Here is a 23,092-nt window from a genome sequence, read left to right on the forward strand (position 1 = left end):
GCTCGGCCCGTCACATCCCGCGCTGCCCACCCAGAGGTTTGGTTGAGACTGCAGGTGGCGGCGGAGGTGCCTTAGAGATTGCTAGCAGGGCCGGAGGAGACCCTAGCGCCACCATGCGTCTAAAAGTAGGAACTGCACCCCCGGCTCCAGACACCTGCCCCAGGTTCTCCTGGCTCTGCGTCCTGCATACCACACACCTGCTGGCGCCCCTCCACCTCTGCACCACGCCAGGACCGAAAACAAGCCCTGAAATCTCCCAATTTCTTCTAGCAGGTGAGACAGTGAGGCAACTCTCACAAACGTGTTTCCTTTTAAGCCACCTCGAATGCGATCCTTGTCCCTACATCTTGCTGAAATTGTCTCACAGCTCACAGCTACCCCTCAAAAAGGACCCAGCCAGAAAACTCTAAGAATCCACCAAAATAAAGCATGGTTTGGATGCTCAATCCTCTGCAGAAAAGCTCACTAGCTTGGGTGCAGGCTTTTAAGAAAGTAAGATTTTTTTTTAATTACCATGAAAGAAAAATCAGCACTACAAACAGAACCAATGCCATACTAAAAGCAACGTGTTCCATTTTGAAAGGCCTGGACAAATTTGATCCCTGAATGGAAGCTGACCATCCTGATTGTGTGACCATTGCAAGTTCTACACCAATTAATCAATTTTAAAATAAATTGTACTGTATTTTTTGACAAACAGGCATGCAAAACTGCCTTTCATAAGCATAGTTACCCTTCTTCTGCTTTAACAAAGCCATCCTTGAAAATAAGACTCAGCTCATTAACGTATTATAAAATTCTTGAAGGTGGGAAGGCCTCTCTAAATCTCTACTCCTGTGTGAACTTGTTTGGTATATTCTCAGCATCTGTTCAGAGTTGGGAGGAGGCATAAAACTTTCTCTTAAGTCACTTCCATTTTATTAGAACATCTTTTATGCCTCAATAATATGACAGCGTCGAGTAGTACATGTCAACATTGGGGTGGGGAAAATCTCTCATTGATCTCCATAAGCGGCAAAAATTAGGATACTAGTTTTTCACAAAACCAAATGTATTTGGTGTAAAGAGTTGTCTTTTCTTCTGAGATGGTCCTACCTACATCTTTAATGGTAAAATGACTTTCCATTTATGAAGTAATACTGACGGTAAATTGTAGTAGGAATTGAAAAATTGCTTTGAAAAAATGTCAAATCTCTGTTGGTCCCCCAAATTAGTATTTCACGTAATCCTAAAGTCACAGAACCACAAATCACCTCAATCTCAACTAACAGTTTCCACCCATATTATCAAGCCAGAGAGAGGAAAGAACTCGAGAATAATTTGTGTCAGACGAAGGGGGATCATCAACTCACTAGGGAAGTAATCTTGAAATACATTTATTATATTCCTTATTAAAAATCCATTGCCTGCTTTTTAGCATCTTCCATAATTGACCAATCCTCACTGATATATGGCAGATATTGTCAATAAAACAGGACCTATTCATTTCTTACGCCTTCCCAAAAAGGATCCTCGAGTCTTCACATTGTGTCCAAGTGATCTCTGCTTATTTTAACTCTGTAAGACATACAAATCCCATCATTCCAGTCCACACTTAATTCACACTTCCTCTTTATCTTCCCCAATTACTCCATCCTACATCAAACATTTCCTTGTCCAGATGTGTTGTACTTACAAAATCTACACTATGTTAGCAATTATACATTGCCTTGGATTATTCTTCCCAACTACAATGAATTTGAACAAATGGCCTATGAGTATGAGCCCTTAATAAAAGGCAGCTTTGGACCAGATACTGGGTGCTTTGTGTGTGCTATTTTTAATAGTGAGATTAACCCTGCCTGATATTCTCTTATTTTAGACACAGAAACTTAAGATTCAGAAAATTCAATCTGTTCAGGGTCACACAACTACAATAACCAATATTGCTTAAAATAGAGCGCTAAAGAAATACTCTGGTGTGCCCTCTAGGGATTCAAGTTCCAGCTCTCTTGTGCAACGTTAGACAAGTCACCTATCCTCTCTAAGCCTATTTCCTCATCTAGGGGGAGAAAAGTTCTAGAGAAGGATGAACAAGATTTATTAATTTTTTTGAAGTTTGGGCTGGGCACAGTAGCTTATGCTTGTAATCCCAGTGCTTTGGAAGGCCGAGATAGGAGGATCTCTTCAGCCGGGAGTTCAAGACTAGCCCGGGCAACATAGGGAGACCCCATCTCTACCAAGAAAAAAAAAAAATAAAAGGTAATATAGTCATAGACCCATACAGCAAGGGCATCACAAAATAGAGAACATAACAATTTAGCACATATGCTGTATACAGGTTAGTTGCTATTACTGCATGACAGAGCTGGGGTTTTCACCCAGATCTGATCCCAAAGCCTGTGCTATTCCATAATGCCTCCATGCAGTCTTTTATAACCCACCATTTATATACAAAAGCACAGTGCTGCTGAGCATAGTGGGTGCCTAGGGATTGAGTGGAATATACTTATGTAGTATTTTTGTTGACAACACAAATCTATAAATGTCATGCATTTTTGAATTAAGAAAACATTTGAATGATCTAAGCCAGCATAAGCCTACTCTCATGAGGGCACAAATTCACCAATAAATTGATACGGAAATAGAAAACAGGAGGGGAATGCAGAACCAACCTTCCCCAAGCATCTAGTGTGTCTGGCATCATGCTAGGGGACTTTCCAAATGTTTCTTTTTGGTTTACTACCGTGTATTTCGTCAGCATCACTACACACTGTAAATATACAATTTAAAGAGTTGTGATGATCTCATGAAGCATAGTTCTGGGCACTGGATCGAGGTTGTAACAATAAACATTGCCTTTAAAGAGTTGGAACACTTAGCTCAGAGTCAAATGCAAAACAAAAAAAAAAAGGTTTCACTTTTGTTCACCAGTCAAGCAACCAAGTGGAGGAATAAGCATTTTTTAATTTCTTATATAAAATGCTAACTTCTTGTCAGGACATACTACAGACTATGCATTGAATTTTTTGACAAACTTCCTGTAATCTTTTTATTAATTTACACTGAGGGAATATAGCACCTTTCATCCGAAGAACTGAAGGTGCTTTACAAACATTAGCATTTAAAAAACAATTACATTTAAAAATCTGGATTCTTGATGTCAAATCTCTTCGACTCCAGATACACAATTTCCTGGAAGCTGATGGAAAGTGATTCTATTTCTGACAATGAAAGAGGCTCAGAAAGAGTCCTAATTTGCTTTCACAGTACAGGCATTTTCCAAAACCTGGTTCTGGGCTTACAAAGCACACACACACAAATCTTAATGCAATGAACAATATTTCAAACCTTATTTCCCAAAGCAAAACCTAGGGCTTAAGACGTCAAAATCTTCCAACAGTTCTAGACATCCAGACAGAATAGGAGCTGATGCAGATTGCATATGAGATGTACTGTTGATCCAGGTGTTTTAGGATCACACTCAAATGAATATAAAGTAGTGAAACTTTTTGGGGAAACACATTAACTTATAAAAAGCTAGCCAAGAGCATATCGGCCAAAGGAGGAAAGGGAGTAAATGGCAATTCAAAGTAGACAGTTCTCACTAGAGCCTAGGGCACTTTATTAGAAACCAAGTATATCATAGGCAAATAAAAATAGTTTTTACCCCCATTGATACAACATAAGGGATTTTACATTCAGCCTAGATATAGGGAGTAACAAATCCTCCTGCCCATAAATCTATGACTTGCAAGTATCTTCCACCACATGATAACTCTATATAGTACATATAGTACATAGCCCTTATTTATTGGAGGGATCCAAAATATTCCTTGTAGGCTCACAAAGTCCAATACATTAGCTCTCTCTTCCCTTTACACGTCTAATAGTAAAAACTATTTTTTCCATGCAAAAAGCCATTATTCAGTTGAAGAGAAATCAGGCAAAACAGAGATGGCAGATAAGGAATGGAGAGAATATTATTGGCACGTGCCCAACTAGTGACAAACAAATGCAGTACACAATGACTTAAAAATAAAAGTCACATTATAGGGATAACAAAAACAACTACATCAATCTAAGCTAAGGAGTGTCAAACAGGGAGGGCTGGGAGTTACCGGTTCTATTAGTACAACTTAAGTGGAAAGCAAGCACTTAAATACAATTTATGGTAACAGGAAAAAAAAAAATACTGCAGAGAGCTGTTCAAAGACCACACCAAGTTGTCTGCATCATTAATTTCCAGTGTTTCACAATTAGTAAAATACATAGCTACATATCCCTGTGAGATAAAAATACCTTTCCACCTGAATTACACTGGGATCAGGGCAGTAACACGAAGCTACTGACCCAACATTAGTTCAAGTGTGTGCAGCAAATGTCTTAGCCACCTCTTTCATATAGCTATATAATTAAAAACTATGTAAGGAGCTGGGTGGTTTGAGGGAAAAAAATTAAATCAAAACAGTATTGTGCTCAATTAATAAAAGAAAACCCTGATGAAAAATTATATGCCAAGAAGCTTAGACTATAAAGATTTTTATTGCATTTTTAGGTAACCTGGAAGTTCTTATCCTGAAGGGGAAAAGTGGGTTTTCAAAACTACCTGAACAGATGCTAAAGTGCTTTATTAATTGGCTGGCTTCACAAGTATTTCCTGGAATAACAAAAATTAATCATAGTAAAGGGATACCAACTATTTCACAAAATGTACATTCCAACATCATTTATGACTACAGTCATAAGAGATACTGGAATACTTGTCCTTATTAAGTGGACAGTTGCATATTCAGAACTGATCATCACAACCCTTTGGATATTCAAATTACTTACACAAAGCTGAAATATGGTATCACAGACCTTTGCAAAAAAGAAGAACTTGTTTCTTTTTCTACACTTTAAATAATCTGCTTCAGATTACAGTTCACAAATACAAGAGTCCTAACTTTTCAACCTTTCCAGTTGCAGTTTAAAAATGAACACTTTCTAAAAGTTAAGGTCAAGTGTTACAGCAAGAGAAGAATGATTCCTATTGAAAAGCACATAGATTTTAGTTAATAATACTCATGATAGATTGTAAACTGGATTGATCACATTCTACTCAACTGGTATCAAATTAACACATCAGCATTACAAGTATTAAATGTTTTTCTATTACTATAGAGGATATAAACCAAAACATTAATATGGCAGTTATGTTCTTTAGGCACAGTTTAGTGATTTTTTTCAAAAATAAATACTATTGAATTTCAATTGAAGTTTTAAACTCAATAACCAAAGGGTCAAGAACTCTGATTAGGAAAAAAGAAAAGATAACTTTACGCTAACAATGTAAGCTGTTTAAAATTTCTAACACTTAACCTATCTGAGTTTTATTTAAGATTACTTTATTAAAAAATACAAGGAATCTGAAAAAAGATCAATACAATTATCTTAAAGTACAAAGTCATAAGCTGTAGCAGTTTTTAACTAAAATTTAAAAACACAACAAGGAGGGCAGCCCTTTAGACCAATTTATTTTATATCCATTTAAAATATCATCCAACAAAGGACAATGAAGTTTACATCTGGGACAGGTATACATAACTTGAGGCATTTGGAGTCCATCGTGCCCACTGAATAACAACTTTGCTGCTGAAATTTCTTAAAACTTACCAAACTAAAACAAAAGGCTGAATGATACAAAAGGAGGAGTATTTAGGTGTAATCTGTCAATTGGCTTTTAAAAAAAGGAAACACATCCTGTTTCCCAGACCAGTAAATAAGCAAGAGCTACATGCAGCAGTGTGAGTATTAAGACATTTCTCAAGTCTTCTCAAATGAGTCCAGGGTGGGGATGGGATGGGGGAAAATTGATAGAAAAACTTTGCTATAGACACCACAACAAACAATAAATTTAGATAATTTAAAATTTAAAAAAAAAAAGGCAAGAGGCAGCATTTCAGCAGCAAAGTGCTCAATAAAAAGTATATTGTAGAGGGTAATACAAGAAAATTGGGGTAAGAAGAGGGCAGAAAAATGGGTCAGCAGGATGGGCGAAGGCCTCAAAGGAAATATGGCGTTGTCGTTCTGGGAGGAATAACACGTTCTGAATCTGGAACTGCCCGGAATAACTTTGGTTCTCTTGTATTTACATCTTTGAAGACCATGATCGAAGCAATATTTCCACAACGATAGCAGTAATTAGGAGCAGACCATACTGTCACCAGCTTCTCATCAAACATAAATTTATAGCCTTCGTGCACTAGTTGATGTGCTCTGCAGATGAGTTTTAAGTTGTTGATATGAACAAACTGCAATTTAGAAAGGCACTGTAAGTACTTAGCACTTAAAAAACAATCGGCCTACATAATCATTTAAATAAAATACCAAATCCTATTACTACTAAAGGCATCAAGATTATAGAACGCACTCTATAATTATCTCCAACAATTTAATAAGTTTAGGCAAACAGCAATTTTGGCCTGAGTCAAGTGCACAACTATGGAAACTGTACAGCTACATAAACAGTTAGAAATTTCTGGAAGAAAAAGCATTCAATAGGTACTATGAAACAAAATTTTGTGTTTTCTGATTTAATAATAAAGATATTGCTATCAGTATCTACCATTTACTGAAGGTTTAGTATATGTAGATGTTGCAATAATTCTGAAAGAGATTATTCTTTTGCAACTTAAGGAAACAAAAGCTCAGACTAGATAAATAACTTATCTAAATTAAGATACACTGATGCAGGATCAGAATCTAGTTTTTTGACTTCATTATGATGCTGGAGCACTTCCCAATATAAGGGGTGTGTGTGTGTGTGTGTGTGTGTTTTAATTGAAAACAGTTGAAAGTTCAAAGTGTGTGTGTGTGTTTTAACTGAAAACAGTTGAAAGTTCAAAGTACTGCCTATCTTGAAGATGGCGGAGTAGCATCGCAAAGAGATTAGTATTGAGTCTCTGGGCCGACTTTGGTTGCAGTCTCTGCAGCAGCAGTGATCACTTAGTGAAGAGTGCTTAGGGTAGTTGGCCAGGATCCTGAATATCAAAATCTTCAGCGGCAGCTCCCACCAGGGCTTATCTCAGAAAACTGCCGATCGCCTGGGCCTGGAGCTCGGCAAGGCAGTGATTGAGAAATTCAGCAACTAGGAGACCTGTGTGGAAATTGGCAAAAGTGTACGTGGAAAGGATGTCTACATCATTCAGAGTGGTTGTGGCAAAATCAATGACAATTTAATGGTGCCTTTGATCATGACTAATACCTGCAAGACTGCTTCAGCGAGCCAGCTTACTGCAGTCATCCCATGCTTCCCTTATGCCCAGCAGGATAATAAAGAGTCAGGTGACAATCTCAGCCAAGCTTGTTGCAAACATGCTATCTGTGGCAGGCGCAGATCATATTATCACCATGGACCTACATGCTTCTCAAATTCAGGGCTTTTTTGATAACCCAGTGGACTATCTGTATGCAGAGCCAGGTGTCCTGAAGTGGATAAGGGAGAATATCTCTGAGCAGAAGAACTGCACTATTGTTTCATCTGATGCTGGTGGAGCTAAGAGAGTGACCTCCATTGCAGACAGGCTGAATGTGGACTTTGCCTTGATTCACAAAGAAGGCCAATGAAGTCGACCGCATGGTGCTTGTGGGAGATGTGAAGGATCTGGTGGCCATCCTTGCGGATGACATGGTTGACACTTGTGGCACAATCTGCCATGCAGCTGACAAACTTCTCTCAGCTGGAGTCACCAAAGTTTATGCTATCTTGACTCACAGAATCTTCTCTGGTCCAGCTATTTCTCACATCAACAACGCATGCTTTAAAGCAGTAGTAGTCACCAATAACATACCCCAGGAGGACAAGATGAAGCACCATTCCAAAATACAGGTGATCAACATCTCTATGAGCCTTGCAGAAGCCATCAGGAAAATTCACAATGAAGAATCCGTTTCTTACCTATTCAGTCATGTCCCTTTATAATACAGTAACTTCTGAGGCTTTTTAAGAATAAAATCCACCCCACCCCTTGTTTTCCCTTGGTATTTGATGACGAATTCAGCAGAAGACCCAGCTTGCTCCAGTGTAGCTTTCTATATCCCACATCAGGTATATCTGAGCTTATCCGAAATGAAGAAAGAAGGATTGAGATTAACTGCTGGGACTTCCTATCTGCATTGTCTCATTCTGGCTTCCTTGATGATTCTGTGAGCCTTGCAGCTTTAACTATAGCTCAGCTGTTACAAGATTTCAGACTTTTGAGGATGTTGTGTGGGGGTGTTTGACTGTGACTGGAGAAGCTCAGACTACTCTGCATGTGAATGCTTCAGGGTTTTCTTTGTTGAGAACAACCAGCAGCAAAGCCAACCCATGTGTGAGCAGTTCTCCCCAAGGTCTATGCTAAATTATGGCAAGAGCCCTGGGCAACCCCAAACCTAGTCCCGGTGGCTGAGCACCCTGTAAGGCAGGAGTAGGCAGTTGGGCTTGAGCAGCCATGGGGTAGGGGGTGGGGGGTGGTTGAGGGGGGAGGCAGCACAGCGCAGCAAATGTTTCTTGGGAGGAAGAAGCCTGATCCATCATCATCTGCTTGACTATGTAGCTTGGATTCTCTTTTGTACCTACTCCTTTGATTTGGCTTTACCTTCATCCATCTTGATCCTTTCCTGGCCAAAGATCCTCTTGGGCCCAAATGAACACTGTACCGTAGTCTTCTGGAAAGCAAATGTGCTTCCTGCTATGTAATCGCTAACATTCACATTACATGATTTGCTGTAGCTTGATCTTCCTTAGCCTACTACCACTGTGGCAGTAGGTTTTAGGTGGTATCATAGTGCCTTTTGATTAATTTAAGTATTTAATTTTCATCTTCTTTCTTTGGATCTATTTGGCTTTTCAAATGAACAGAGATTTCTGTTAAAAAGAAAAAAAAGATTTGACGTAGGCTGGGCGCGGTGGCTCACGCCTGTAATCCCAGCACCTTGGGAGACCAAGGTGGGCAGATGACCTGAGGTCAGGAGTTCAAGACCAGCCTCACCAACATGGTGAAACCCCGTCTCTACTAAAAATACAAAATTAGCCAGGCGTGGTGGTGTACACCTGTAATCCCAGCTACTCGGGAGGCTGAGACAGGAGAATCGCTTGAATCCAGGAGGCAGAGGTTGCAGTGAGCCGAGATTGCACCATTGTACTCCAGCCTGGGCAACATGAGCGAAACTCTTGTCTCAAAAAAAAAAAGATTCATGTTATTGTCTCTTGTAGAGGAAACTAATAAAGTGTCTGTATCTGTGTGATTTGAGGTCTTTGAGAAAAAAAAAAAAAAGTATTGCCTATCTTGGTCTTGCCATTTTGTTACTTAACTACAGTACTTGAAAGGAAAGGGGCTGGCCGGGTGCGGTGGCTCACACCTATAATCCCAGCACTTTGGGAGGCTGAGGCGGGTGGATCACCTGAGGTCAGGAGTTCAAGACCAGCCTAGCCAACACGGTGAAATCCCATCTCTACTAAGAATACAAAAATTAGCCAGGCATGGTGGCGCACACCTGTGGTCCCAGCTACTCAGGAGGCTGAGGCAGGAGAATGGCTTGAACCTGGGAGGCAGAGGTTGTTGCAGTGAGCCAAGATCACGCCACTGCACTCCAGCCTAGGCGACAGAGCAAGACTCCATCTCAAAAACAAAAAAAAAAGGAAAGAACATTTACTTTATACATTATTACCAAATGGATGCTGGAGTAGGTGCTTTCACTGTGTCATCTTATTTAACCATTAAAGAAAGACATACGTTAATAACTAAACTAGAAATTTAATATCCACAGCCACCATATTTTGAGTAAGCTAGACTACAAGTTTGTTATCTAGGGCCACCATAGTTCTCTATGCAGCCCATTAGCAATCCACAAATTACATTTCCAAAAATGTTGGCTTTACCTCATTTGTGACCTTTGCTCCAAAAAGCCAACCTGCTCCTCGGGGACTGATAGCCCAGGTATCCACATCTTCAGGATCTGACCAAACCAGATCACAAAATGCTCCTTTATGAGGAATTTCCTGATTCCGTTCGATGGTTCGAATTTGATCCAGTGTTTTGATATCAGGAGATAAACCACCATGGACACACAAAATCTGCTCATCTATTAACTAGCAAAAAAGGATAACAAAGAGTTGAACATATAACCTCAGGCATATCTAAACTCATCAGTGAATACTAAAGATATCAATATAATTGAGATGACAACTAGATAAAAATATGCAATGTGTTATTGGCAGGAACGTACATGAGACTTTAAAAATAGAAACTTACAGCTGCTACTGTGAGCATGTCAAAAACTTTGGTACAGTATCTCCAGGCATTAGCATTTCCATATTTGGTTTGGCACTCATCTGTGAAAGAAACAGAAGGGTTTTAATTAATGAATCTGCTAATAAAAATAAACAATATATCCAATACTAGAGCAGCCTTCAGTACAACAGAAATTCAGCTTAAACTAGGATAGCAAGATATGACACATATTTAGTCCTGCTAGGACCTCCACATAGAGCCAAAAGAACGCTAGTGACTAACTACATACAGTTGTATGTCCCTTAACCATGGGGATACATTCTAAAAAATGCATTGTTAGGTGATTTCATCGTTGTGTGAACATCATCGGATGTCCTTACATAAACCTAGATGGTCTAGCCTACTACACACCTAGGCAATATGATATAGCCTATTGCTCATAGGCTATAAATTTGTGCAGCATGTAACTGTACTAAATATCATAAGGAAATAGTAACACAATGGTAAGTATTTGTGCAATAGGAATTTTTCAGCTCCGTTTTATCTATGGGACCACTGTCATATATACAGTCCATCATCGACTGAAATGTCATTATGTGGCACATGACTGTATTTCCTAAGGATGTAGTACTGCTCTTCATTCCTGGAATGGACCTAAGAAGCAGCTGAAATTATTAGCCAAAATGCTATCATTAGAAGAGTTAAATACTAATTTCACACAACCTGAAGCAAATGTTTTAACAGTTATGTTAATATTAGGCAATTCTGGTAAGCAGATAAATTTATTTAAGGAGACAATTCTAGCAGGATAAACAGATCAAACAAATTAGAGGATCCTTAGTTATAGGAGCATGAGCAATTCCTAACTCTTCTCAGGGCTAAGTTGTCTCTTCTGAGATTTTCTGCAAATCGTGCGACTAAACACTTGAGCTTCAGTGGATCAAAACTGAGGACAGATTGCCAATCAGGTTCTTACAAATTCTCAGTTGAACACTCTTTCTGCTGCCTACGTAGTTTTTTGTTTTTGAGACAAGGTCTCACTCTATTGCCCAAGTTGGAATACAGTGGCACAATCAGCAGTGGCGCGATCACAGCTCACTGCAACCTCAACCACTTGGGTTCAAGCGATCCCACCACCTCAGCCTTCTGAACAGCTGGAACTACAGGCAAGTGCCACCACACCTGGCTAATTTTATTTCTGGTAGAGATGGGGATCTCCCTATGTTGTCCAGGCTGGTCTTGAACTCCTGAGCTCAAGCAATCCTCCTACCTCAGCCTCCCACAGTGCTGAGAATACAGATGTGAGCCACTGTACCCTGACTGTCTACATAGTTAATAGGGTACACACTTCTTTTGTTAACACCATGGAAGCTCTGTACTTTGGCTTCTTCCATAATTTTAGAAAAAAAAAAACCTGACATATCACTATTGCCTTAAGTGAAGCTGAAAATGATATAGGAAAGAAGTCTGCAGGTTATGACCAATCCCCAAGATTTTCTCAATTATATATCTACGTGAAGCAAGATTGTTATGTAAACTTGCCATAAGAGAGCCCTAACAATGAGCTCAGGTTGCAGGCAGGGATCTTGAACTTGGCTCAATAGTAACTGCCCAGTATGTGTTTATCAGTGTGAACTGAAGTCCCAGTGTAAAGTCATATAGGGATATTTTATTCCTTGAAAATCAATATAAGTCCTATAATAACTAAAATTATCTTATTCAAAACATATGTCATATGGCTGGACGCAGTGCCTCATGCCTGTAATCCCAGCACTTTGGGAGGCCGAGGCGGGCGGATCACAAGGTCAGGAGATTGAGACCATCCTGGCTAACACGGTGAAACCCTGTCTCTACTAAAAAATACAAAAAAATTAGCCGGGCATGGTGGCGGGCGCCTGTAGTCCCAGCTACTTGGGAGGCGGAGGCAGGAGAATGGCGTGAACCCAGTAGGCAGAGCTTGCAGTGAGCGAAGATCGCACCACTGCACTCCAGCCTGGGTGACAGAGCGAGACTCCGTCTCAAAAAAAAAAAAAAAAAAAAGTCATATATTAGCCATATATAACAATATGTATTTTATATATTATACATGTAGCATTAGTTACATATATATAGTAGGTGTGTGTGTTTTTATAACATTAGTTTTAGTACTGTTTTCACTGAGCTAATATCATAGTATGTTATCCAAAATATTGATTATTTTGCAAAAGAATCCAAAAGTTGTATTTCAATTGGTGTTTATTTTGTGAATGAAAATAAAAAGTCACCTGTAGAAAGGAGATAAATATTACCTAACTTTACACGTATTAAAAAAATTATATAAAAACAATAAATTCTCAAAATTTCTCTAATTGATAATGGCAGACAAACTGAAGAGTAAGAGAGTTCAGATTATCTTTGCTTTGTTTCGTTTTGAGACAGCCTCACTGTCATCCAGGCTGGAGTGCAATGGTGCAATCTCGGCTCACTGCAACCTCCACCTCCCGGGTTCAAGGGATTCTCCTGCCTCAGCCTCCCGAATAGCTGGGACTACAGGCAAGTGCCACCATGCCCAGCTAATTTTTGTATTTTAAGTAGAGACGGGGTTTCACCATGTTGGCCAAGATGGTCTCGATCTCCTGACCTTGTGATCTGCCTGCCTCAGCCTCCCAAAGTACTGGGATTACAGGCATGAGCCACCACACCTGGCCCAGCCTATCTTTATAATGAAAGAAGATAATTCAAAATATAAAATTTAAATCTAAAGGGTTCTGCAATTAATGTTTCCAAATCTCTCAATATCTGTCTTAATTGTGCTCAAGGAAAATCCAAATTCATAATCTTGACAGTTCTATTTCCCTGAAGGGGCTTCCTAATAAGCTCGCTCTCTCTCTCTCTCTCTCTCTCTCTCTCTCTTTCAACCAAATAAAAGTTTTAAAGAATTAGCTAGTTTGCTTTTTTTCCTTTCTTGAGACAGAGTCTGGCTCAGTTGCCCAGGCTGGAGTGGAATGGAGCGATCTTGGCTCACTGCAACCTCCACCTCCTGGGTTCAATCAATTCTCCCTGCCTCAGTCTCCTGAGTAGCTGGGATTACAGGCCCCCACCACCATGCCCGGCTAAATTTTTTTTATTATTAAACTTTAAGTTCTAGGGTACATGTGCACAACGTGTCGGTCTTTTACATATGTATACATGTGTCATGTTGGTGTGCTGCACCCATTAACTCGTCATTTACATTAGGTATGTCTCCTAACGCTATCCCTCCCCCCTCCCCCTACCAGTGCCCGGCTAATTTTTGTATTTTTAGTAGAGACAGGGTTTAGTTGGCCAGGCTGGTCTCGAACTCCTGACCTCAGGTGATCCGCCCGCCTCGGCCTCCCAAAGTGCTGGGATTACAGGGGTGAGCCACTGCGCCTGGCCTATTTTGCTGTTTATGACTAAGTTCTGCTTCTGATCCCTGAGGTCCTAGCATTCTCTGGAGTGAGCATACAGAGATATATGTAAAAGGATGTATAACAGCAGCTTAAAAACAACTCTAAAGTCCAACGATAGAGGAAAAACTGATACATCAATTATGCTACATCCATATGGTATATGAAGCAGCCATGAAAATAACATTAATAAAGTGAAAAAATCAGGTATGTCCCCATTTTAGTGTGCACGTGTTTGTACATATATAAACACACATAAACACACACACACACATACAAAATGGATGAGAATGGACTCTCAAATTTGTGCAGAACATTCACCTTCAGCAGATTCTAGATTCCCACTCCAAAATATTTTGATTAATAAATCTGTGGTGAGGCCCAGCATTCTCCTTTTTTTTTTGGTTTTTTTTTTTTTGAGACGGAGTCTCCCTATGTCGCCAGGCTGGAGTGCTGTGGCATGATCTCGGCTCACCACAAACTCTGACTCCTTGGTTCAAGCAATTCTCCTGCCTCAGCCTCCCGAGTAACTGGGATTACATGCACACACCACCACGCTCAGCTCATTTTTGTATTTTTAGAAGAGAAGGGGTTTCACCATATTGGTCAGGATGGTCTCGATCTCCTGATCTTGTGATCCGCCTGCCTCAGCCTCCCAAAGTGCTGAGATTACAGGTGTGAGCCACCCCACCCGGCCGGCAATCTACATTTTTAATGAGAACCCAGGTGATTCCAGCTACACTTTGAGGCACAGATCTAGAAAGATGCACACCAAAAAGTTAACAGTGGTCTTCTCTCGAGCATAAGATTTTCAATTGTTTGGGAGGAGTGAAGGAGTGAGGATGTGGGGAAAATAATATACATAAAGCATGTGTATGACTTGTGTAGCTTTGTTTTCCAAAGAGGAAAGTAAAATAATATTCAGAATCAGAGAAATAGGAATTCTTACCATAAAATCCATAGACCTGTGTTATCTGTCTACTCTCATGATTTCCTCGCAAAAGTGTAATACGATCAGGCCATTTAGCCTTTAATGCAAGAAGGTAAGTGAAGGTCTCCAAACTATAGTAACCTCTGTCTACAAAATCACCCTGTGAAGTAAAAGTTTACAGTTACAAACAATACAATAGCCACAATATTCTTTTCAAATTATATCAAACTGTACAAACATATAGTTTATAACTACAATAAAGAGTTACATACTGAATTATTTGGAAATTTGATTTTAACAAAAAAATAAAATACACGTAAACAAATTTTTTCTATTAAATGTTTATACAAACAAGATTTTTGATTCCAGGGAAATCTACAAGAATCTGCTGTGCCATTCTCTCAAAAACTTTCCCTGAAAAAAAAAACCACCATTTTTTTTTCTTTTTTTTCTTTTTTTGAGACAGTATCACTCTGTCACCCAGGCTGGAGTGCAGTGGCACAATCTCGGTTCACTGCAACCTCCGCCTCCCGGGTTCAAGCGATTCTCTTGCCTCAGACTCCTGAGTAGCTGGGATTACAGGTACAAGCCGCCACCACACCCGGCTGATTTTTGTATTTTTTGTAGAGACGGGGGTTTCACCAGGTTGGTCAGGCTGGTCTCAAACTCCTGACCTTGTGATCCACCCACGTTGGCCTCCCAAAGTGCTGGGATTATAGATGTGAGCCACCACACCTGGCAAAACCACCATTTTTTCAATCCTCTATTACCTACATTAGTTGATTTGGTCATCTGCTAACCAGTATTTTTTAAGTTTTTTTTTTTTTTTTTTTTAGATGGAGTTTCACTCTTGTTGCCCAGGCTGGAGTGCAATGGCGTGATCTTGGCTCACTGCAACCTCCCCTTCCTGGATTCAAGTGATTCTCCCACCTCAGCTTCCTGAGTAGCTGGGATTACAGGCATGCACCACCAAGCCCGGCTAATTTTGTATTTTTTTTTTTTTTTTAGTAGAGACGGGGTTTCTCCATGTTGGTCAGGCTGGTCTCAAACTCCTGACCTCAGGTGATCCACCTGCCTCGGCCTCCCAAAGTGCTGGGATTACAGGCGTGAGCCACTGCGCCCGGCCAAGTAATTTAATTTTTAAAAATTCAATTTTTTTTTTTTTTTAGAGATGGGGTCTCACTATGTTGCCCAGGTTGGTCTAGAACTCCTGAGCTTAAACAATCATCCCACCTCAGCCTCCCAAGTAGCTGGGACTACAGGCATGTACCACCATGCCCAGGTAAAATAATTTTTTATTTTAAGAATCATTTTAACTGTATTGGAAGAGTTGCCTACTTGAAGAAAAAAATTTTTTGTAAAAGCAAATACCATAATTATAACAGCGTTCTAGGCTCAGTTTTGCATTTAACAACCATATATGATAATATACTATTTACACTTCCCATTAATGTCTGACTTGGGCCAATATTACACCAATAGGAAAACAGCTGAAAGAATAGGAAAGTGGCCGGCGTGGTGGCTCACCCCTGTAATCCCAGCACTTTGGGAGGCCAAGGCAGGGGCCGAGGTGGGCGGATCACGAGTTCAAGAGATCCAGACCATCCTGGCCAACATAGTGAAATCCTGTCTCTACTAAAAATACAAAAATTAGCTGGGCGTGGTGGCGCACGCCTGTAATACCAGCTACTCGGGAGGCTGAGGCAAGAGAATCACTTGAACCCAAGAGGCAGAGGTTGCAGTAAGCCAATCGCACCACTGCACTCCAGCCTGGCAACAGAGAGAGACTCCGTCTCAAAAAAAAAAAATAAGAAAGTGACCCAGAAACTTTCAGAAGGAAAGAAAATGAGAGAAGGATCCAGAAAAAGTTCAACAGTAACATTACATTCCAAAAGAAAAGCAAACATCTATAGCAAATGTGTATGTGTGTATATTAATCCATCCATAGATTAACGAGAGATAAAAATGAATGCTCGAAAAGTCTGAATAAATAATAGTCAATTGAAGATTTTTGCCTTAAACCAGGGGTTCTGGGTTATTTTTTATGCCCAACCATTACTGACAGCTACAACCCAACCCTATCTACAGTGGCTTACTAAGGCAATTAATTAGAGGACATAGTTAAATGTAGAAAAGTATACAATCACCTTGATATGGTTTGGCTGTGTCCCCACCCAAATCTCATCTTGAATTCCCACATGTTGTGGGAGGGACTCGATGGAAAGTAATTGAATCATGGGGGCAAGTCTTTCCTGTGCTGTTCTCATGACAATAAGTCTCATGAGATCTGATGGTTTTAAAAACAAGAGATCCCTGCACAGTCTCTCTCTCTTTGCCTGCCGCCATCCACATAAGATGTGACTTGGTCCTCCTTGCCTTCTGCATGATTGTGAGGCCTCTCCAGCCATGTGAAACTGTTAAGTCCATTAAACCTCTTTTGTAAATTGCCCAGTCTCAGGTATGTCTTTATCAGCGGCGTGAAAACGGACTAATACACATCTTTTAATATACTGAAATAGGGACTGTCACATGGTAAAGAATTATTATGCAATTTACATTTAATAAGTCAGATCCTTTCCATTTTAAACAAGCACTTGATATCACTGGTGTTTACATACCATAAATATGTAGTTTGTGTCAGGAACCTGACCTCCAGTTCTGAACAGTTCACAAAGGTCATAAAACTATAAAAGAAATGCAATACATGCTGATTACAAATTCCTGTTAAGAAGCAAAGCAACAAAACTGAGAGTGAAATGTGTAAAGAAGCAGCTAAGAGGACTCCAAATATTTACATTTTTAAGAAATAAAGTGTAAGCCAAACTGCCAAGCACACAGTTCTCAAGACTAAAAAAAGCACTAAATAAAGCTCAGTTACCATAAAGTCACTCCTAGATTATTATCATAGGATTCCCTTTCTCATTTTCTTTCATACATCTCCCCATCTATCTCTTGAGAATTCTGACATCCTTTATCAATTGTCTAATTTCTCAGTAAGCTAATCTAACAGCCCACCCAAATTCTGTATCTATTTTAATGAGACAAAAGATTACAGAAACAAGTGGATACCTCTTTTTCTTCCAAACTGAACTTACATGACACTCCAGTGTTATACAGAGATCTTCCCACATTCTACAGTTAGAGTTATATACCCTCAGGCTCCACAGCCATGGAGTGTCTCCTCAATGATCAGTTAAAAAAAAATTATATATTTCATCATATTTTTTGTTTTTTGTTTTAAGACAGGGTTTGGCTCTGTTACCCAGGCCGGAATGCAGTGGTGCAATCATAACTCACTGCAGCCACAAATTCCTGGGCTCAAGTAACCCTCCTACCTTGCCCTCCTCAGTAGCTAGGACCACAGTTACACACCACCATGCCCAGCAAATTTTTATAGAGACAGGGTCTCGCTTTTTTGCCCAAGCTGGTCTCAAACTACTGGCTTCAGGCAATCCTCCCACCTCAGTCTCCCAAAGTGCTGGGATTACAAGTGTGATCCATGACACCCAAGGATATTTCATCATATTTCTATTTACTGAAATTTGGTAACTGGCAAATTGTGCATTTGTCAAATTTCAGTCCACTAGATTATTACCCTAGCCCTAATTTCCAAAGAAAGCATTACAGTTTTTCTGGAAGAAAAACGATTTTGGATTAAGGGAATTGACTACAATACATTGGACCAATTACAACTAACAACTTCTAACACATTCATCTTTTACACTTGAAATAAAATTATCATTTAAACTTTTAACACTTAATAGGAATGTTAGTCAAAGTGAAGAAAACTGAAAGTGAGATGTTAACTACTGAAAGAAATAAAGTAACACCTTTTATAACAATGTTCCATAAGTCTAAAAAGTCAGACAAAAAAAAAAAAACAACTTTAGGAAGCTTAATATAAAATGTATCTGAAAATTAGCTAACAGGCCAAGCTGCTCACACCTGTAATCCTGGAACTTTGGGAGCTCACGCCTGTAATCCCAGCACTTTGGGAGTCCCAGGCAGGCAGATCACTTGAGGTCAGGAGTTCAAGACCAGCTTAGCCAATGTGGTGAAACCCCATCTCTACTAAAAATACAAAAATTATCCAGGGGTGGTGGCCTGCACCTGTAATCCCAGCTACCTGGGAGGCTGAGGCACAAGAATTGCTTGAGCCCAGGAGGTAGAGGTTGCAGTGAGCCAAGATCATGCCACTGCACTCCAGCCTGGGCAACAGAGCAAGATTCTGTCTCAAAAAAAAAAAAAAAAAAAAAAAAAAGTGTTATGGTCCGGGCACAGTGGCTCACACTTGTAATCCCAGCATTGTGGGAGGCTGAGGCAGGTGGATCATGAGGTCAGGAGATCAAGACCAGACTGGCCAACATGGTGAAACCCTGTCTCTACTAAAAATACAAAAATTAGCTGGGCATCATGGTGGGCACCTGTAATCAATCCCTGCTACTCGGGAGGCTGAGGCAGGAGAATCACCTGAACCTGAGAGGTGGAGGATGCAGTAAGCCAAGATCACGCCACTGCACTCTAGCCTGGGTGACAGAGCAAGACTCCGTCTCAAAAAAAAAAAAAAAAAGTGGGCCAAGCACAGAGGCTCACGCCTGTAATCCCAGCACTTTGGGAGGCCGAGGCGGGTGGATCACCTGAGGTCAGGAGTTCGAGACCAGCCTGGCCAACATGGCGAAACCCAGTCTCTACTAAAAATACAAAAATTAGCCAGGCGTGGCGGCGGGCACCTGTAGTCCCAGCTACCTCAGGAGGCTGAGGCAGGAGAATCACTTGAACCTGGGAGACGGAGGTTACAGTGAGCCAGGATGGTGCCACTGCATTCCAGCCTGGATGACACAGCAAGACTCTGTCTCAAAAAAAAAAAAGTGTTATGACAACATTTAAAACATCAAAAGAAACAGCCTTCATGACTAACATAAGTGAATATCTTAAATTAAGATCTAGCAACTCAAGGACCTTATGAGGCCATGAATAAAAATTATGACGAAAACCATGTAGCAAAATGCAAAAATCATTAGGGAAAAGAATGGAATACAAAACTATACCTATAACTACACAATTCTATTATGTAAAAAATTGAGTAGTTATATACACAAAGTCAGGAAGTGAACATTAAAAAGTTTTGTAAGTCAGTTTTTTAATAAAAATATGGTAGAAGAGTGAGTATCCTTAAACTTTTCTATTGATGTTTACAGATATGTTTTTTTGTTTTGTTTTGTTTTTTTGAGACAGTCTCACTCTGTTGCCCAGGCTGCAATGCAATGGTGCGATCTCGGCTCACTGCATCCTCCGCCTCCCAGGTTCAAGTGATTCTCCTGCCTCAGCCTCCCGAGTAGCTGGGATTACAGGCGCGTGCCAACAGCCCCAGCTAATTTATGTATTTTTAACAGAGACGGGGTTTCACCATGTTGGTCAGGCTGGTCCTGAACTCCTGACCTTGTGATCCGCCCGCCTCGGCCTCTCAAAGTGCTGGGATTACAGGCGTGAGCCACTACGCCTGGCCAGATATCTGTTCTTAAACAAAAGCTTTTAAAGTTTGTATTTACCAGACACACAGGTAGACGATTAAATATTCTGCGTCAGTGATACATAGGTTCCCATTTCCCGAGAACTTGGGCAATTCTTTTTTTTTTTTTTTTGAGACGGAGTTTCGTTCTTGTTGTCCAGGCTGGAGTGCAATGGCACGATCTCAGCTCACTGCAACCTCCACCTCCTGGGTTCAAGTGATTTTCCTGCCTCAGCCTCCCGAGTAGCTTATCTGCCACCGCACCCCCGCTGATTTTTGTATTTTTATTAAAGACGGGGTTTCACCATGTTGGCCAGGCAGATCCTGAACTCCTGACCTCAGGTGATCCACCCGCTTCGGTTTCCCAAATGCTAGGATTACAGGCATGAGCCACAGCACACGGCCCTATTTTCATCCTACATTACTAGACACCTACCTCATCGTCAAATAATATCTACCATCTACTCTATGTCTCTCCCTCACTCTCTTTTTTTTTTTTTTTTTTTTTTTTTTGAGACGGAGTCTCAGTCTGTTACCCAGCCTGGAGTCCAGTGGTGCAATCTCAGCTCACTGCTGCCTCTGGCTCCTGGGTTCAAGCAATCCTCCTGCCTCAGCCTCCCAAGTAGCTGGGACTACAGGCACGTGCCACTACACCTGCCTAATTTTTGTACTTTTTTGTACAGAAAGGGTTTCGCCACATTGGCCAGGTTGGTCTTAAACCCCTCACCTCAGGTAATCTGCCCGCCTCAGCCTCCCAAAGTGCTAGGATTACAGGCGTGAGCCACTGCACCCAGCTACTCTGTTTTTCATATTTCAGATACTCTGCTCCCATTTTAAACCAAAAACAATCTTAAGAAGTAGATTTTTTTCTTTAATTATCATTATTTTTGAGATGGAGGCTCACTATATTGCCCAGGTTGGTCTCAAACTTTTGGGATCAAGCAATCCTCCCACCTCAGCCTCCTGAGTAGCTGGAACTACATATATGTACCACTTTACCCAGCCTGGGAAGTGGATTTTTTTTTGAGACGGAGTCTCGCTCTGTCACCCAGACTGGAGTGCAGTGGCATGATCTCGGCTCACTGCAACCTCCACCTCCCAGGTTCACGTCATTCTCCTGCCTCAGCCTCCCGAGTAGCTGGGACTACAGTCATGTGCCACCATGCCCAGCTAATTTTTGTATTTTTAGTAGAGACGGGGTTTCACCACATTGGCCAGGATGGTCTTGATCTCTTGACCTCGTGATCCGCCCGCCTCGGCCTCCCACAGTGCTGGGATTACAGGCGTGAGCCACCGCGCCCGGCTGGGAAGTGGAATTTTTTTTTTTATCAGAGGCAAGGAAACATCCAGTCTGCCCAGTAGTTCTCAAACTTTTTGGTTTCAGGATTCATTTGTGATCTTAAAAACCAGAGGTCCTGAAAATCTTTTATGTAAGTTTTACAAATCAATATTTACCATATTAGAGATTAAAACTCAGAAGTTTTAAATATTTAAATGAATTTTTAAAAATTAATAACATAGGCCAGGCACGGTGACTCACACCTGTAATCCCAGCTACTTGGGAGGCTGAGGCAGAAGAATCGCTTGAACCCGGGAGGCAGAGGTTGCAGTGAGCTGAGATCACACCATTGCACTGCAGTCTGGGTGACAAGAGTGAAATTCCATCTCAAAAAAACAAATCAATAACATACCCATCAAAAAGTATCACAAACACATTTTAATGAAAAATTAACTTTTCCAAAACAAAAAAATTGTTTAGTGAGAGGAGAATTCACATTGTTTTACATTTTCACAAATCTCTTCAATGTCTGGCTAAATAGAACATGGCTAGTCTTAGAACTTGCCTCTGCACTCAGTCTGTTGGGAATATACTAAGTAAAGCAGATGAAGAAAATCCAGCTTCACAAAGATATGCAGTTACAAAAGGAAGGAGTATTTTAATAACATTTTCAGGTAACTGTGCATACTCTTTAAATACTGTACCAAAATTTGACAAGTGGCAGTTTATGACACTTAAAAGTTAATCGCAATATGAAATCTGAAACCATAACAGTAATCTTTTGCTTTTTTTTTTTTTTTTTTGGAGACAGGATCTCTCCCTGTTGTCCAGGCTGGAGTACAGTGGCACATTCTCAGCTCAGTGCAACCTCCACCTCCCAGGTTCAAGCAATTCTCATGCCTCAGCCACCTAAGTAGCCGAGATTACAGGCACGTACCTCCACACCTGGCTAATTTTTGTATTTTTAGTAGAGACAGGGTTTCACCATGTTGCTCAGGCTGGTCTCAAACTCCTGGGCTCAAGCGATCCGCTTGCCACGGCCTCCCAAAGTGCTGGGATTGCAGGTGTGAGTCACCAGGCCTGGCCTATAATAGTCATCTTTCATACCCTGTTACATTTGTTATCTTACACTTTGAGTAAATGGTAAACTAGTAATTTGAAAAATGAAAATGACATTGCATTTTATATCATCAAAAAACCATATTTGTTAATATCACTGCTCATTTCATCTCAGGAAAGTCTTTTAAGTGTCGGAAACTGTTAGCCCCATAGTGGTGGACTCAGATTTTCCAAAATTCCAATTTTTCATTAGTAAATTCAAATTTTGTCATCGGCAACAAATACTGTCAATTGTTCTCCTTGAAGTGACTGGCCCACTTCCTTCACTTTTGCAAATATAGTTGCCAAATACCCAAGTCTAAATAATCACAGTTTGTCAGTCATTCTCAAGTAAAAATAGTGTTCCATAAAAAAGCAGTTATTTTAACTCATGACTCAAAGAATTTCACAAGTATTTTTCTTTTTCTTTTTTTTTTTTTTTTTAGCAGAGTCTCACTCTGTCACCCAGGCTGGAGTGCAATGGTGAGATCTCAGCTTACTGCAACATCCGCCTCCCAGGTTCAAGTAATTTTCCCTGCCTTAGTCCCTGAGTAGCTGGGATTACAGGCACCCACCACCACACCTGGCAATTTTTTATATTTTTTAGTAAAGATGGGGTTTTGCCATGTT

The 23,092-nt window shown here is 40.5% G+C and overlaps 1 protein-coding gene and 1 pseudogene across 7 annotated transcripts in view; one reads left to right on the forward strand and one right to left on the reverse strand.

The window, feature by feature from the left end:
- PPP6C (protein phosphatase 6 catalytic subunit) overlaps window positions 2,927–23,092 on the reverse strand; it is a 43,231-nt gene continuing 23,065 nt past the window's right edge. For 4 of the 7 annotated variants that reach the window (NM_002721.5, NM_001123355.2, XM_011518847.4 and 1 more), the window contains 5 exons: window positions 17,195–17,260; window positions 14,595–14,736; window positions 10,260–10,339; window positions 9,887–10,096; window positions 2,927–6,275 (listed from right to left, as the gene is read on the reverse strand). In NM_002721.5, the coding sequence (NP_002712.1) occupies window positions 6,027–6,275; window positions 9,887–10,096; window positions 10,260–10,339; window positions 14,595–14,736; window positions 17,195–17,260 (747 nt within the window). In that variant the 3' untranslated portion in view covers window positions 2,927–6,026. The remainder of the gene's footprint in view (window positions 6,276–9,886; window positions 10,097–10,259; window positions 10,340–14,594; window positions 14,737–17,194; window positions 17,261–23,092) is intronic. The other 3 variants (NM_001123369.2, XM_047423566.1, XM_047423568.1) reach the window with 1 other exon arrangement.
- Window positions 6,885–8,141, forward strand: PRPS1P2 (phosphoribosyl pyrophosphate synthetase 1 pseudogene 2; annotated as a pseudogene).

Source organism: Homo sapiens, chromosome 9, assembly GCF_000001405.40.
Source record: "Homo sapiens chromosome 9, GRCh38.p14 Primary Assembly".
NCBI classification, from domain to species: domain Eukaryota; kingdom Metazoa; phylum Chordata; class Mammalia; order Primates; family Hominidae; genus Homo; species Homo sapiens.